The sequence below is a fragment of the Homo sapiens genome, chromosome 8 (assembly GCF_000001405.40).
Source record: "Homo sapiens chromosome 8, GRCh38.p14 Primary Assembly".
Lineage (NCBI taxonomy): Eukaryota > Metazoa > Chordata > Mammalia > Primates > Hominidae > Homo > Homo sapiens.
In genome coordinates, this window is record NC_000008.11 from 61,587,705 (window position 1) to 61,606,150 (window position 18,446).

The 18,446-nt window shown below is 36.6% G+C and overlaps 1 protein-coding gene across 72 annotated transcripts in view; it reads right to left on the reverse strand.

Annotated features, from left to right (window-relative positions):
• ASPH (aspartate beta-hydroxylase) overlaps positions 1 to 18,446 on the reverse strand; it is a 214,037-nt gene that overhangs the window by 87,149 nt on the left and 108,442 nt on the right. The window lies entirely within an intron of this gene.

Sequence of the window (18,446 nt, forward strand, 5' to 3'; positions counted from 1 at the left end):
CTTTTCATATATCTTCATATTTGATAGCTTCTAACTATTGTACCTGTCTTTGAAATTCAAATTTTATCCTATTTTTATTTTTAAGTACACAGAAAGCCTGAGGCAATTTTCCCAACTGCTAAAAACCACAGACTCACTCTTTCTTCTCATTCTGGGGAGGCACATGTTCTACCTGTAGAAAAAATGAGTCCTCATTCAGGCTGGTGATGGGACCCTGGCGAACTCTCTCCAGCACTCTGGGCCTCAGCTTTCTTACCCATGGGTAAGAAATGGGTGATGTGGGCTGCTTCTCTTAAGGTCTCTTTGAACTCAAAAGTCCTGTGCTTCTAATTTTCAGTATTTAAATTATGTTCATAATCTTTTAAAGTACACCTATAAGGTACTAGAAAGAATTATTAATTTTGTTGAATTTGGATCTTTCAAAATGGTTTAGGAGAAAGCTATCTATGCTATATATAAATTAAAGTTTTGTTTTGTTTTTAAATCACTGCCATTACAAGTGTTTGGCCCTTTTTCAAAAGCACAAAGAAGAAAAGAAAAAGGAACACTTACATTTCAAATCCTTACTTCCCTTGCCAGGCTGTGGTTGAAATATTAAGAGCAAACAAAATGGAAAAGAAGGAAAATAAAAGGATAGCTGAAGGCAGGAGGAAAACACTAGTGATGCATTTGTAGATTATAAAAATTACGTTGACTCCTTTTCATTTCCACTTAGTTCATGGAAGATGTTTTTATACTACAGTCCATGGGGAGAAGTTGATCATCAATAAAAACAGACACAGAATCTTCACATTACTCTATGTCCTATACCCATTCCACTGAAGACAGTGAAGAAAACAGCAATTTCTCCTACAAGGTATATTTTGAAAAGCAACAATTTCCTAACTAGTCTCCCTGACTCGAGTCTGTTCCCATGTTCTACCTTGTTCTCAGGTTATTTTTGAAACACTATTTATTCATGTCATTACATTGCTGAAAATACACCCATAGATCCCCAGAACATAAAAAATAGAAATTAAATTCACTGGGATGCCCTCCTAGCAATCCTGCTCCTAATTACGGACCCAAGAAAAATGAAAACATAAATCATGAAGACGTACACAAAGACTTGCATGCAAATATTCACCACAGGGTTGTTCACAACAGCCCCAACGTAGAGAAAACCCGATGTCCATCAACTGGTGAATGAAAACAATCTGTGGTATATCCAAAAAATGAAATACTACTCAGCAATAACACCAGTACCTGCAACAATATGGATGAATTTTAAATGCATTATGTTAAGTGAAAGTGGCCTAGTCCAAAAGGCTACTGACTAATTCCATTTAGATAGCATTCTGGAAAACTGAAAACTGCAGCTACAGAAAACAGGTAAGTGGCTTCAGAGGCTGTGGTGGGAAAAGGGGATGACTACAAGGGCACAAAATAATTTAGGGGGTTGCAAAGTTCTGTAAGTTAGTTGTGGTGGATAAAAGCTGTATCTAGATGTATATGCATCATAGAATACACACTATAAAAGGTAAATTTTACTGTATGTAAATTCCTTCTTAATGAACCTGACTTTTAACAAAAAAAGTTACAAGGCAGAGATAAGCTCCATGATTCTCAGTGAAGACTCTTACTGTGTAGGTGTAATAGTATGAGAAACACTTGGGAATAAAAACAGCATCCTTTTCAAAAATGAAATTAAATTTAGTTTGAAACTCTCCAAAAATCTTTTGGGAGGTAATTCACTCACCCATGTTTAAGACACACTTACCTGCACACAAAAAGGAAAAAACCCAACATGCGAATCTAGACCTAGCTAGGCCCTCAATGACATTGGAATATTTTTGTATTTAACATCCCAGCTACCTCTTCTACTCCAGACTGCCCTCTTCCTTACCAGCCACCAGCCTTCCAAGCACCCTACTCTTGAACTACATCAAAACACTGGCCGTTCCTCAGCATGTCACTCTGCCCACAGTGGAGGGAGACCTAGGACTGTGGATTAGGGCCCATCTTGTTCACCGGCTTGTTTATTCACTCAAGAATTTGTTAAAGTGCCCGTTTTCCAAAAATTGTGTGAGGTTCTCAGAATTCAACGGGATCTTTCTTAAGGAGGTTATAGTCTTTTGGGGAAGACATACATGAATAACTAATAGTTAGAGGAATATGTGCAATTATAGGATGAATGAGGAGTGGTACTAATCTATTTGGGAGGGGAGCCTTCTTGGGGAAACTAAAAACTTCTGTATACCCAGGGAGAGGTAGCATTCTGGCCAGAGGAGAGAGTATTTATTTTGTAACTCAATCACAATCAGGAATTTGAACCTTTATTGTTAGGTTTTTTTGTTTGTTTTTTGGTTTTTTTGTTTTGTTTTTAATGTGAAAGGCTAAAATTCCTCTCCTGCTTGGATACTAGGGTTTGGTGCCATAACACATAAATTTTCTTACAATAAGAATTTCAGCTTTCTAGAATTTTGGGAAGCTGAAGGTGTAGATATTGCTCAGGGATCCCAGACACTGACTTGCTTTCTCCCCGTGTCTGAAGAAGGAACTTTATTGATGCTGAGCCTGCTTCAAAAGCCAGTAGAGTCCAGAGTGCTTGCTCTGGGAGTATAAGGTTTTTCGAGAGAGGGTATACACACTGACTACAAAAGGGCAGTGGCATAGCAAGAACTGGGTTTTTGAAAACATGCAAGACAGAGAGTGGAAAACTGTGGCTCCCATCTGCACCAGTGAAGGACTCTAGATGGCCAGGGAAGCCATGCAAAGGGACATAGCATCTGCCCCTGCCCTGGGCTGCCATTTTGCTTCTGATACAATTTTGTATGGCTGATTAAATACGGACCTTAATTTAACTCTGTGTGTGTGTGTGTGTGTGTGTGTGTGTGTGTGTGTATGAATTTCTCCCACTAGCCCATCTGAAATGCTATACTTATTCAAGGAAAATAATGTGCATCTTGAGCTCTTGCACAGTTGCATTTCCTTGAACCAGCTTTTGCCTTTCACAAATTGGCCCCTAATCTCCATTTTCCTCTTCTATTAATTTCCTTTATATAGACTCTCGAATATGGCATGAACATTGACACTTCTGTGGTTTTTCTCATGGTGTTTTATCTTCCTGGAAAACCCTTTCCTTTATTTCTACCAAAGAATATTCTATATTTTAACTTTTGAGACCTCGTTTAAATGTCATTTCTTCTATCAAGTTTAAGGCATCTTTAGGCAGAAAATAATCTCTCCTATGGTCATATAACATTCTATTACTATTACTACTATACTCATTACTATTTCTAGAAATAGTAAACTCTTCAGGCTGTGTTCATGCTGGCGGTATATACACAGTGCTCGCTCAAACTCTCCCCCCTCACTCCCACCTTCCTCCCTTGCTGGATTGTTAATTTCTGAACTGTGTTACTTATAATTTACAAAACAGCATTTGGCATATGGCCTGTCCTATAGGAAATCCTCAACAATTTTTCATGTTTCTAAAGGCATGAATGCATGCAGGCATGAATGAAGCAAGACACTGTAGAAGGGGATATGGCAATGTGAATTTGTAATTGGGCATATCAGCTGTCTTTTAAAAAATGAGAAAATTATAAACAACCAATATAGAAAATTACCTGAGAGTTGCTTGCTTTATAGAGTTCAAATCCAAAAAGTTTCAATGGTCAATAATGGAGGGGCCCGAAGAGGAAGATTAAAAAAAAAAAAAAGCAAGATACTTGTACCATAATCCCCACTGAAGATCTTGTAGGGAACACTAACATTTATTCTACATCTTATTCCATGTAGGTTTTTCAGTATATTGAGCAAATGGGGACACACATGGCAGAATACAAGGCACAACTAACAGTAAATTCTTGGATTGCAAGGTCTCGCTAATTTTAGAATAACAAAAACTTCCCAAAGCAGCTTGCTATTATGTTCTGAGTCACTGCTTAATGCCTTAGCCAATTCTGTGCTGATAATAACAGCTGACATTTATGGAGCACTTAAGCCTTCTAGACATGTGTGACTCACCCAAGCTGCACAAACTGTAAACAGTAGGCACCGAGACTGAAGCTTCGGGTTCTCTCCAGTAGACTCCAATGTCTGTACTCTTAACCATTTTGCTATATCTTTGGCATCTGGCTCAGAAGTCAAGAAATTAGGGTGTTCCTAAGAGTTTTAAGGGTGATGACACAGTGGAATTAAGTATTAGTATAAGTATTATTTGTGTAAAGGAAGTAGCTGAACTTTGTATTACTTGTCTGTAAGGATAAAGGCAGTTAAATAACCATAGTAATTTTCCTTCATTTTGTGTCTCAAGACGTAGCATTTAGACATTACACAGACACATCCTGGCTTGGTAGAAGGACCACAGAGTACAAGCCTGAAGGCCAGTCTGTGAGCTTCAGTTCCGCTACTTCTGAGGCAGCTTGCTTAATTTTGTTGAGCCTTTGTTTTTTCATCCACGAAATGGGGATAATATCTGACCTCCTTCCTACTACAGTAAAGGAAAGTCATGGAGCATAAAACCTCATATAAATGTTAATTATGACTTTCATCTACAGTATCTTATTTTTAGTTACTTTAAAATTCTATGCTTAATTAAGTGGGAAATGTGCCTGACTCTTATTAATAAATGTTTAAGCAGTTAATTTTTTAAAAAGATCAGATTTTCTCTATGATCAGACATTTCCCTGGCAGAGATTTTGGGCAACTAATAACTTTATCACACTATACCTGCATTCAGTTTGGATTTCAAGTCAACAAAGGATTAAAGAGCTTTGAGGCCATGCTAAACTTCCCCTGCTTCCCAAACTCTAGTATGTGTTTTTAAGCAGAATCACATAAAATATTAAATACTGCTTTTGGCTATGGTTATTCAAAGGTGGAATTTGATGAAAAATAATCTAAAAAGCAAAACAATTTAAGGGAAGGAAAAGTAAGACCAAAATAAGATATTAAAGAAAAAGGTGCTCTGTATCTGACTGAGATGTGGTGTGAAGTTTCAAAGTCATCACATAAAGCAACCTTACTGCAATATTATTCATAGCAATTAACAGTTAACCCAAGATAGGACCCCTGCTTATTTTAATCTTCCTTTATTAGGATTGGAAGCTAATTCTGCTTTTCTTTTTAAAATCACTGATAGATTTCAATAAAAGAAACATCACTCTACATTTGTCTTGACAGTGAGGTAAATCTATAAATTAAGGCAAAGGGTAAAAAAGAAGAAAACATTCAAGAATTCAAGAATCCCATGTTAGGATTTTTGATGAAACGTTATCTGCTAATCACAGGAAAAGCAAACCTGAATCTACGAGTGTTCCTACAGGCGGGGGATGTGGGTAGGCGCCCTCAGTTATTTTCTCTTTCATTTAAAAGTGGGAATTGTGCAAGGTATTCCCTACTGTGATGCCTCACACTGGGGTCTGAAATAAATCTGCTCTCATATTGAGAGACATGCTATTTGCTGTTGAGAAACCCAATATGCAGACAGCCATGGAGGTGCTTCTGGCAGGAGCCTTTGTTTGTATTATCACCATGTGAGAAAGAAAAGCTAATGTGTTTGATCCAAAAATAGCCCCTTCTGAGGCTTTTTTTCTCTAACACGATCTACTCTATAGGTATTACCAGAAGAAGAAGTAAATTTGGGCAACTCTTGAAAGACTCTCTTACCAAGGATGGCACACTCTTTCTTGCCTCCTACAGCTAAGAATAATGGACTTCTGTTTTTTCAGAATTAATTATCAACTATATACCAGCAGGAGGTCAATATTCAAAGCTTAAACCAAACAGTTAACAAATATTTTTCACTGAGAGATGCTAACTTATACAACCCAGTAAATAGTATATAAAGGGCAATTGTTTTCATCTGCTCCCTCTACTAAACTAATGTGAGATTCTGCTGGGAGCATTCAATGGAGACAGCAAGTATTCCAGTTTATTACATGTAGTTGGCTGCCTTCCCATAGGGTTATTTTTATAAATTATACATCACTCCCCTTCTAGAGTAATAATCCTTTAACAGATGTGACCCCATATGTTAAATTAGAAATTTTAGAGATGCTAAGTGATGTGTTTTCTAGACATAACAGAAAACCCTTCAGTGCCAAAGCAGTCCGCAGCCTCACCAACAGCAGTGCCAGACACTGAATTTTATCCCCACGCACACGTTCCATGAGAGAATAGCCACCTTCCTCAAATGTTATTTTAGATAAAATTCTAATAATCTTGGTGTTCTGTTTCTCTAGCCCTTAAGTTATTATAGGTAACAAACTAACAAGATGGAGTGAGGGTTGTTTGAAGCAGGTATATACTCAGCAGCGGATACAAGCTGACAGACTGAAAGTAAGAAAGTCAGAAACCAGAAATAAACCTGAAATAAACCCAGCTCCAATAGCACTGCAACATGGGTTAAACTGTGTAGACATAAATGGTGCCAAACACTTTAACAGTCCCCAAAAGCATCACTGCATGATACAGTAACTGATGTTCATTAAAATCAGAATTATAGTCTCCAGTCACCAGGGAATGTTAAATTATTTGCACAACACATTTTTTAAATGGGGAAATGATTTTAAAATGCTTTAGAAAATATCACCCGAATTTATTAATTTTGCTTAAATGATGCTTAAAGTTATCTAACATCATCTTTAAATAATTGTTTCTATGAAATACTGATTTCCCAGTGATGTCAAATGAAATAATAATTTCTAAGCCCAGCTTGCATCAGTGTCTCCTGAAGGACCTGAAACAAAACAGATGTTCCCAAACCCCAATACCAAAAAAATTGCTACAGGTGATTTTGCTCTGCAACATCTCAGCTACATGTAAAGATTAGTACAGGAATCCCCTTTTATCCACGGTTTTGCTTTTCACAGTGTCAGTTACAGATGGTCTACAATAGTCCCAAAATAGCTGAATACAATACAATAAGGTATTTTGAGAGGGAGACCACATTCATATAACTTTTATTACAGTATATTGTTATAATGTTTCTATTTTATTATCAGTGATTGTTGTTAATCTCTTACTGTGACTAATTTATAGATTAAGTTTTGTCATAGTGTGTATGTATAGGAAAAAATATAGTATATATAGGTTTGGTACTATTCATAGTTTTAGGTATCCACCAAGGGTTCTTGGAAAGTATCCCATATGGACAAGGAAGGACTATTGTATATATTATATGAATGAATAATTTCAGTATTTTTAATCCTATGTCTGAACTATCTTATTTTTCATTTGATTGTTTAGATGTCAGCAGGATCTATGTTTGACCGATGTTTGTTCAGAACTGATATTGACTGGTTTTCACTATTATAACTTTTAAGAAATAAATTACATGGAATTCATATTTTTTAGATATCATCTGAGATTTCACCAAAACAGAGTGGATATCTTTAAACACAACTTGAAAATCACAATGAGAGAAACCCCAAGAGTGTCTTTAGAGTTTCTCCATATGCTATAAGAATGAAAACCTGACATTACAAAATTGATTAATCTTGCTTTATAGTAGAGGTGGTAGGCATGACAGGATGACCACAAACTTTCAACAAATACCCAACTGTGAAGATCCTGGTCTCTGGGGAGTAAGAAATAGTTAAGTTTACTTGAGCAATAGCAGGATGATGAAGTGACAAACTATTTCTGATGTATTACCCAATAGAGAAAATACATGTTTCAATGGGAGGTTTCTCATTACAGACAAATGAGATTATAGATCAGTAACAGGGATGTAAATCTATTATTTGATATATTGAAAAACAAAGCCATTGCCTTTCTGAAACAGAGGTAGTGAAAAATAACAATAAAGAGGAGGACATTATCTTCAAATACTAAGGTTGAGAGTAAACTTGGTAAAATTTCTAAATATTTCCATATTATCTATGAAACAATGGCTTGTGAGAAACTGTATATCAGGTAATAAAGGTCAGTGATCTCTGAGAGATAGGGATCACATTCCTCAAACCAGTGATAAAATAAGGATCATAAAAGCAGACAGAGAGAATAGACATGTCACACACAGGGAAATAAAAATAAGAATGGCCTGGATGCACCATCAGGAAGCCCAATAATAAGCCTGCCCCACCTGCTGCCACTGGCACCTGCCATTCAGGGGCCTAAAAACAGGGCCACCTGGTTTACTGCCATAGCTGTTGGCACCTAAGCATATCATCTGGAAGCCTGGGAATCGGCCCACTCAGCCTGTCACTGCAGGCACCCATGCATGCTGTCTGGGGATCTGAAGATAGATCCACCCCACCCACCCCCACTGTCACTGATGCCCCAGTGTGCCATCTGGATGTGTAAGGATTGCCCCGTGCCCCACCCCTCAATGCAGCCTGCACTCATGTGCACTGTCAGGCAGTGTGAGAACAAGTGTGTCCTACCTGGTACCACTCCTGCTACTCCCTGTGCATGTTGTCTGGGAACCTGGAGATTGGTTCACCTGGCCCGCCACCACCAATGCTTACACACATGTTCCAGGGGCCTAGGGATTGACCCACCCCATCTGCCACCACTGGCACCTGTGCATGCCTTCCAGGGGCCTGAGGATGGGCCCAGCCAGCCTGCCACCTCTACTGCAAGCAACCACTTGTACACCCTACCTGGGGACCTAGGTACCTGCACATGACACTTGAGAGCCTGAGGGTTGGCCTGCTACTGCTACTGCCATGGCCAATACCACACATGCTGCCTAGGTGCCTGAGGACCTGCCTGCCCACTGCAGCCACTGCTGGTAACCAAGTAAGCCTTCTGAAGGCCCAAAGGTCTGCTCTCCTGGACCCACTACCATCAGTGCCCATGTACACTGCCTAGGGGCCCACAGACGGGCATGCCCAAGGACCAGCCCACCTGGCATCCCAGTCCCCAGCAGAGCCTCACCACAGCCTCCACTAAAATTCACAGCTAAACCACTGAGGAAATCACAGACACCACTGATGCTGAACACAGCCAAGGAAATCATACTGAGACTACACTACTGCGCCAGCCCAGAATCAAAGACAAAGTGCTCTACACAACCAGCATTATAGATACTTCTACAGCAAAAAAGTCTTTCCTATGAAAGCCAATTCACAAAATTGGAAGAAGTGACTGTTATACCAAATGTGCAGATATCAAAGGTAAGGACAAATGAAGACAAAAAAAGGAAGAAGACATGACACTTCCAAGGGAACGCAATAATTTTCCAGCAACAGCTTCTGATGAAAAGGAAATTATGAAATATCAGAAAAAGAATCAGAATAATAATACTAAAGAAACTCAGTGAGATATATGAGAACAGAGATAAATGACACAAAAAAATTAAGAAAATAATTTATGATCTGAAAGAAAAATTCAATAGAGAGATAGATACCATTTAAAAGAACTCAACCGGGAACTAAAGAATTCAATGAGTGAAATCAAAAATAAAATCAAGACCATCACCATCAACAATAGACTAGATTGAATAGAAGGAAAAATTTCAGAACCAGAAGATAGATCACTTGAAATAATCCAGTCAGGAAAAAAAAAAAAAAAAAAACAATGAAGGGGCCTGGCATGGTCAGGCATGGTGGCTCATGTCTGTAATCCCAGCACTTTGGGAGGCTGAGGCATATGCATCGCTTGAGCTCAGGAGTTCAAGATCAGTGTGGGCAACATGGCAAGACCCTGTCTCAAGAAAAGAAAGGAAAGAAAAGAAAAGATTATTACATAATATATGTGACACCATAAATCAACCAAATAACCAAATGTCCTAATTTATGGATATGAACAGAGGCAAAGAAAACTTATTTAATGAAATAATAGCTTTCAAACTTCTCAAAGCTTGCAAGAAATATAGACATCCAAATATGAGAAGCTCAAAGATCCCCAAATAAATTGAAACAAAATGGTCTTCTCCAAGTTACATTACAGTAAAACTGTCAAAAGTGAAAGACAAAGAGAAAATTATAAAAACAGCAAAAGAATCAAGTTATTTAAAATGGAATTCCCATTAGAATAACAGCATATTTCTCAGCAGAAATCTTTCAGGCCAGAAGAGAATAAAATGACATTTTCAAAGAGCTGAAAGAAAAAAAATTGCCAGCTAAGATACCAGATCCAGCAAAGCTATCCTTCAAAAATGAAGGAGGAATAAAGTCTTTCTTAAGCAAAAACTGACAGAATTTATCACCACTAAGCCAGCCCTACAAGAAATGCCTAAGAGGGTCCTATATCTGGAAGGAAAAGGACAATATCTGCCACCATGAAAACACACCAAAGTATAAACAAAGTATAAAACTCACTAGTAGAGCAGACAGACAAATGAGAAAACAAGAGTCAAATGTTACCAGTACAGAAAACTACCAAACTGCATGATAAACAACAGACGATAAAGGAGCAAAAAATATACAACAACAACAAAAGGAAAACAAGAAAACAATTAACAAAATGACAGGAATAAGTCCTCACCTATCAATAGTAACCTTGAATATAAACAAATTAAATTCTTACTTAAAAGATATAATCTGGATAAACTGATAAAAACACATACCACAACTATATTCTGCCTACAAGAAACTCATTTCACCTGAAACACATATAAACTAAAAGCAAAAAGACAGAAAAAGATATGCAGGCAAATAGAAAGACAGAAAAAGATATGCAGGCAAATACAAACCAAAAGTGAGCAGGAGTAGCTATTTTATTATCAGATAAAACAAACTTCACATGAAAAACTATAAAAAAGAAACAAAGAAGGTCATTATATAATGATAAAGGGATCAATTCTTCAAGAGGACATAATTCCACATATATATGCATCCAGATATATAAAGCAAATATTATTATCTCTAAAGGAAGAGACAGACTCTAATACAATAATAGTTGGCAAGTTCAACACCCCACTCTGAGTATTGGACAGATCAGCTAGACAGAAAACCAACAAAATAAACACTGGATTTAAACTGCACTTTTAGACCAAATGGACTTAACAGACATTTACAGAGCATCATATCCAACAGCTACGGAGTACACACTCTTCTTCTTGTCAGCACTTGGAACATTCTCCAGGTAGACCATATGTTAGGCCACAGAACATGTCTTGACAAATTTTAAAAAATTGAAATCATATCAGGTATCTTCCAGAACACAATGAAATAAAACTAAAAATGCAGTAAGGAGAGAAACTTCGGAAATTTTACAAATACATGAAAATTAAACAACATGCTCCTGAATGGCCACTGAGTCAATGAAAAAATTAAGAAGGAAATTTTTAAAAAACTACTTGAAGCAATCAAAATAGAAACACAACATACCAAAACCCATGAGATACAGTAGTGCTAAGAAGGAAGTTTATAAGCACTAAACACCTACAACAAAAATGTAGAAAGATTTCAAATAAACAACCTAATGACATGCCTCAAAGAACTAGAAGATCAAGAAAAAGCCAAACCTAAAACTAGTAGAAAGAAACAAACAATAAAGATCAGAGAAAAACTAAACAAAATAGGGACTAAAAAAAAATTACAAAAGTTCAATGAAATGAAAAGTTGGTTTTTCAAGGACAAAAAACCAAACAACACATGTTCTCATTCATAGATGGGAATTGAACAATGAGAACACTTGGACACAGGAAGGGGAACATCACACACCGGGGCCTGTTGTGGGGTCGGGGGAGTGAGGAGGGATAGCATTAGGAGATATACCTAGTGTAAATGACGAGTTAATGGGTGCAGCACAGCAACACGGCACATGTATACATATGTAACAAACCTGCACGTTGTGCACATGTACCCTAGAACTTAAAGTATATTAAAAAAGTCAAAAAAAAAAAAAGAAAAGAAAAACAAAATTGATAAAATACTAGCTAGAATGACTAAGAAAAAAAAGGAGAGAAGACCCAAATAAATAAAATCAGAAATAAAAATGAGACATTTTAACTGATGCCACAGAACTACGAAGGATCATCAGAGACTATTATGAACAATCATACACTAACAAATTGAAAACCCTAGAGGAAATGGATAAATTCCTAAACACATACAACCACCAAGATTGAACTAGGAAGAAACAGAAACCCTGAACAGATCAATAACAAGTAATGAGACTGAATCAGAAATCTCCCAACAAAGAAAAGCCTAGGACCACATAGCATTACTGTTGAATTTCACCAAACTTTTAAAGAACTAACACCAATTCTCAAACTATTCCAAAAAATTGAAGAGAAGGGAATTCTTCCTAGCTCATTCTACCAGGACAGCATTGCCCTGATACTAAAGCCAAACAGGACACAACAACGACAACAAGAACAACAAAAAAATACACACTGATATTCCTGATACGAAAATCCCTAATAAAATATTAGCAAAGTGAATCCAACAACCCATCTAAAAAATAACAGACCATGATCAAGTGTGATTTATCCCATGAATGCAAGGATGGTTCAACATATGAAAATAAAAAAAAATACATCGATAGGACAAAAACCATATGATCATCTCAATAGTTGCAGAAAACGCATTTGATAAAATACAACACACTTCTGAACAAATTAGGCATAGAAGGAATATACCTCAACATAATAAAGGCCATGTATGACAAACCCACAGCTAACATCACAGTGAGTGGAGAAAAGCAGAAAGCCTTTCCTCTAAGAACTGAAATAAGAAAAAGGTGTTTACTTTCACTGCTCTTGTTTAACATAGTATTGGAGGTCCAAGCCAGAGCAAAAGGGCAAGAAAAAGAAATAAAAGTCACCCAAATTGGAAAAGAGGAAGTCAAATTGTCCTGTTTGCAGAAAACATGATCTTATATAGAAAAAAATCTAAAGACTCTACCAGAAAACTTTTAGACTTGATAAACAAATTCAGTAAAGTTACAGGATACAAAATCAATATGCAAAAATCAGTAGCATTTCTATACACCATAGCAAACAAGCTGAAAAGAAATCAAGAAAGTAATCCTGTTTATAATAGCTACAAAAAAAACCTAAGAATAAATTTAGCCAAGAAGGTAAAAGAGGAAAATTGGAACAAAGAAGAAATATGAAAAATAGAAAACATACAGCAAGATAATAGATCTAAATCTAATCATAGCAATAATCACATTAAATATAAATACTCCCAATTAAATGCCAAACAATTTCAGCTTGGATAAAAAAGTAAGAGCCAGCTATGTGGTAACTCAATAAATACACTTCAAATATAAAGACAAATACGTTAAAAGCAAATGAGTAGAAAATGGCATATCATTCTAATAAAAAGGACAATAAAAAAGAGCTGAAGTGCCTGCCTGTGTGAATATCAAAGCAGATTTCAGACCAAAGAATATTCTCAATGATAAAGGGGATTATTTCATAACGATAAATAAATCAATTCATTAAGAGAACATAATAATCTAAATGTTCATTCCCCTAGTTACAGAACTTTAAAATCCATGAAACAAAACCTGACAGAACTTTAAAGAGAATAGAAAAATCCACAATTCCATCAGAGGCTTTGGTAGCCCTCCATCAGTAATTAATAGGACAAGCAGAGAGAACATCAGCAAGGATATAGAAGATTTGAACAGTGGTATGAAGCAACTTGACCTAAATGACTTTTCTAGACTCCCTGCAACAATAGTAAAATACACACCTTTGTAAGTGGGAGGCTGAGGCAGGTGGATCACGAGGTCAGGAGCTCAAGACCAGCCTGGCCAACATCGTGAAACCTCGTCTCTACTAAAAATACAAAAATTAGCCAGGCGTGGTGGCGGGTGCCTGTAATCCCAGCTACTCAGGAGGCTGAAGCAGAGAATTGCTTGAACCCAGGAGGCGGAGGTTGCAGTGAGCCAAGATTGCGCCAGTGCACTCCAGCCTGGGTGACAGAGTGAGACTCCATCTCAAAAAAAGAGAGAGAGAGAAAAAAAAAAAACCTCAAAAAGGAACAGCAAATTAAACCTAAAATAAGTGGAAGAAAGGAAATAATAAAGATCAAGGTACATATTGATAATTTAGAAAGCAAGAAAATACCAGAGGAAGATAATAAAAATAAAGCTGATTTTGAGAGAAGTTAACTAAAATTGATACTCCACCAGACCGATCAAGAAAAAGAGAGAAGACACAAATAAACATAAATAGCCAACATCATGAATGAGTCAGGTGATATCATTACAGATTCTATAATTATTAAACAATAAATATTATAAACAATGTTATGTCAATTAACTCAACAAATTAGATGAAATGAACACAATTCTTGAAAGACACAAACTACCCAAGGTTACTTAAGAATAAACAAATAACCTGAATATCTTGTATCAGTCAAATAAATAAAGCTTATGGTTAAAAACTTTCCAAACACAAAATACTAGGCCCAGTCACCTTCACTAGTGAATTCTATCAAATATGTAATAAAGAAATCATACATAAATTCTTAAAGAGAAGGGGTTGTTTCCCAACTCCTTCTGTGGGGTCTGCATTATTATGAAACCAAAATCAGAAAAAGATACTACATGAAAAGAAAACTACTAACTGGTATCCCTCATGAACACAGATGTAAAAAACTTCTTATCAAAATGTTAGCAAATCAAATCCAACAAGATATATAAGGAATAATGCATCATGAGTTTTATCTCAGAAATGTATTAATGTATAGTTGTTTTAACATCTAGAATTAATCAGTGCAATTTATATTATACACAAAAATGAAAAAAATATGATCATTTCATTAGACAATAGAACAGCCTTTGACTAAATCTAAAACCAATTCCTGAAAAAAAACTTTAAGCAGTGTAGACATAGGAAACTTTCTCAATCTGAGAATGAGCATCTATGAAAAATCTAAAGCTAACAATACTAAACGGTAACAGACTGAATTCTACCCTCTCCTGCCCCCAAGATCAAGAAAAAGACAAAGATGTCCATGCATAACTTCTTGGCATTTTACTGGAGGTTCCAGCCACTGAATCTGGGAAATGTAAACTAATGCGTAGGGACCTTAAGTGGATCAGTGGCTGCCTGGGGTTGGGGAGGGGCACAGAGGAAGAACATCCAGGAGAAGTCACAGAGCAGCACCAGGAAACTTGGGATCACTGGATATGGTCATTATCTTGATTTTGGTGAGGGTTTTACAGTTTCATACATGGCAAAACTTATCAAACTGTATGCTTTAGGTGAAGTCTATTGTATATTAACTATACCTCAGTGAAGTTGTTATAATAAACATATAAAAATATAACCACAATACTGTTACCATATCTAAAAAGAAATTCACAGCTGGGCGTGGTGGCTCATGCCTGTAATCCCAGCACTTTGGGAGGCAAAGGCGGGCAGATCACTTGGGGTCAGGAGTTCGAGACCAGTCTGGCCAACATGGTGAAACCCCATTTCTACTAAAAATGCAAAAATTAGCCAGGTATGGTGGTCAGTGCCTATAATCCCAGCTGCTTGGGAGGCTGAGGCAGGAGAATCGCTTGAGCCTGGGAGGTGGAGATTGCAGTGAGCCGAGATCGCACCACTGCACTCCAGCCTGGGTGACAGAGTGAGACTTGTCTCAAAAAAAAAAAAAAAAAAAAAAAAAAAGAGAAAAGAAATTCACAATAATTTCTGAATATCATAGTTGGATACTTTCACTGAATAATCAGTGTTTACATTTCCCTGATTGTCTTAAAAATTTATAGAGTTTGTTAATTTGAAATGGGACCTAAACAAGGTCCAAAGACAGCAATTCGTTTTGTGTGAAACAAATCAGAACTTCCTGCAGAATCTTGTGAGATATTAATGTCTATTAATGTCCACTCTTGTCCATTAAGAAATACTGAATAGGAAAGGGCCAAAATCATTTTAGGACATCCATAACTACTGCTACATAGAAAAAAAAATCCTATGTGGAATATGACAATCTGCTCTGACCTGTTTGTCTAAATTTTTCCATTGCATTAGTTTGCTTATTGGATTCTCCAGAACACAATGTGTGACCATTTTCAAACCATTTTGACACGTATTTATTGAGTGCCTCACAGGTATTATGCTAACTAGTGTGGGGACACAAAGATAAACAAGACAATCCCTATCCCCAAGTACTTCACACATTAGAAAGTGGTAGGGGGGAAGTAAATTAATGACTAGAATAAAAGACTGAAAATGATCATGCAAAGTAAGAATTACAAAATGCTCTGGGAACAGAAAGAAGCAAAGGATTACCACTAATTGGAAAAACAAGGAAAGAATTAAGGAATGACAGAACATTAGAACTGACTCTTGAGGCACAGATCTAATTTGGAATGAGGTAGACAGCGAAAAATATTTCAAAGAAATGGGAAAGTATGTACATATAAATGTGAAAAAGGTATGTTCAGGGATTTGTGAAAAATCTTGTGGAATTCTATAAAGTACAGGGACATGGATAGTTAGGGCCAAGGCTAAACAGGTGGCTTACAGCCAGATTATGGGGTGCCTTGAACAAAATTCTGAGGAATTTTGACTTTGCTCCACAGACAATGTGGTATTTCTGATGGCTTCAATGAGTGAGCATATGAATCCTGTCTTTCAAGAACTTTCTCTTGTGGTAGGTACATATATGCAGAAAGGCAAAAACTAGAGGCAAGAAGACTCCCTGGATGTGATATACAAGCCTGAGATGTCACAGGGCCGAGGCAATGGTAGTACAGAAAGAGAGAGAAATGGTTAAATTCCTGGCTAAATTAAATGGTTAAATTTTAGGGAGGAAAAAAAGACTTGAAAATAAAACTCAGGAAAATTTAGATTTGAAAATATCAAAGAAAAAATTAAAAATTATAATTTCTTATCAGTAACACTGACATTCAGATAAATCAATTTCACTTGAATAACAATACATGAATTATTTTTATTACAATTATAGACGATCATGTTTTTTAACATAATGCACTACTGAGCATACTGTCACTTAGAAGGAGGTGACATTCCAAAACATCACAGATTATTGTCAGCCCCAAAGATGTGATACATGTTGTGATCCCTTTTATGAATAATGTGCAGTTTATTTTTATGCAACAGCACACCACATGTTTTGGTTGTTAACAGATGACAAACTTTTTACCATGGTTTTAAACTTGCACACTGGGAATGAAAACTATTTATACAGTAAACATTTTAGCGGATCCTATCTTTGGACAAGTTTAATTAAAGAATGAGAGACCAATTGCACAATCAGGCAGACTCAGGGGAGGAAGCAGGAACTTGCTTCTTTGCTGAATACATTACTTTTTCCCAGCAATTTAAAGCATACATGGAAATTAATGGCACTATTGAATTTTATAATAAATCCCTTAAGCATTTAGCTTTTTTTGTTAGCTGTTTTCAAACTCAGTGTTAATAAAGCTGTAACACCCAAGGTAGAAGGAAAGCATAACTTAACGCTTTAATGAGTTGCCACTACAAGCATTCCTCAAATAGCTTTCCAATATTCTCATAACTTATTCAACTTGTAGATGTTTGTTTTCACATATAAACACTTCCTAGAAAAATATCCCTGAAGAATAACCACCTTTCTCTTGCACTTAAAGACATTGGAATGTCATGTGGATAAAGTTTATCACAGTCATTAAGAGCCTCTTAGAAAAGGAACATACACAAGCAATATCAGATTACTCTTCTATTGCATTTGGACTTAGGGATAACATGCATTTTATACAAAGTAATCACTGGAGGGAAAGTAATGATAATAGTTGCTCATATCTGTATAGCATGACACCAGCGACAAAGCCAAATGGCCATCTGACCTGCACGAAAAATGCAGGAGTGCAGGTAGAATTATCTCCATGTTTTATACATGGGAGAAAAAGCTCAGAGAGGCCAGGAGACTTGTTCAAGATGAAATAGCAAATAAGAATTGGTAAAGCTGATTAACACTCCTAGTCAAGAACCCTTTCTACTGTACTGCAAGAATTTTCTAGAATTAAATAAGTGATTTCACACTAGTAAGAGGAATTCATATGCCTATAAGGAAAATGCTCACTGATAAAATGATAATAATAGCTACTCAAAAGCTGAAGCAGACAAAAGAACAGGGCTCATAAGAGCCTTGACCTCCAGCATCACATTTAGCCACACACTTTAATCTAAAAACACACCAGATCAAACCCCAAACTCAGACTGACCAAGAATGGAAACCTCTTGTGTATTTCCATGACGCTAGTACCAATGCACTAAGTGTGTTTGATACTATTAATCTAAAAGGCAATTTTAAAATATTCCTCATTTTTCTCTCTTTCTAACAAGTCTCTTCACTTGTATTTAATAATCACAGAGAAATACTCCAGTAAGAGCACTGTCAAGCTATTATCATACTTCTCAGGGGGTGAAAGACAATCTGCCTCTGGCCTCCTTCCTCAGAAGGCGCAGAGGTATGCAATTAATGGCGCAACAACACATACCCTGCTGGGTCCTATACTGCTTGACTCTTAGGACTGTCTGGAAGTGCCATGAAAAAATATACTGCAGAGAATGCACATGTATGCTCACAGCAGCAGTT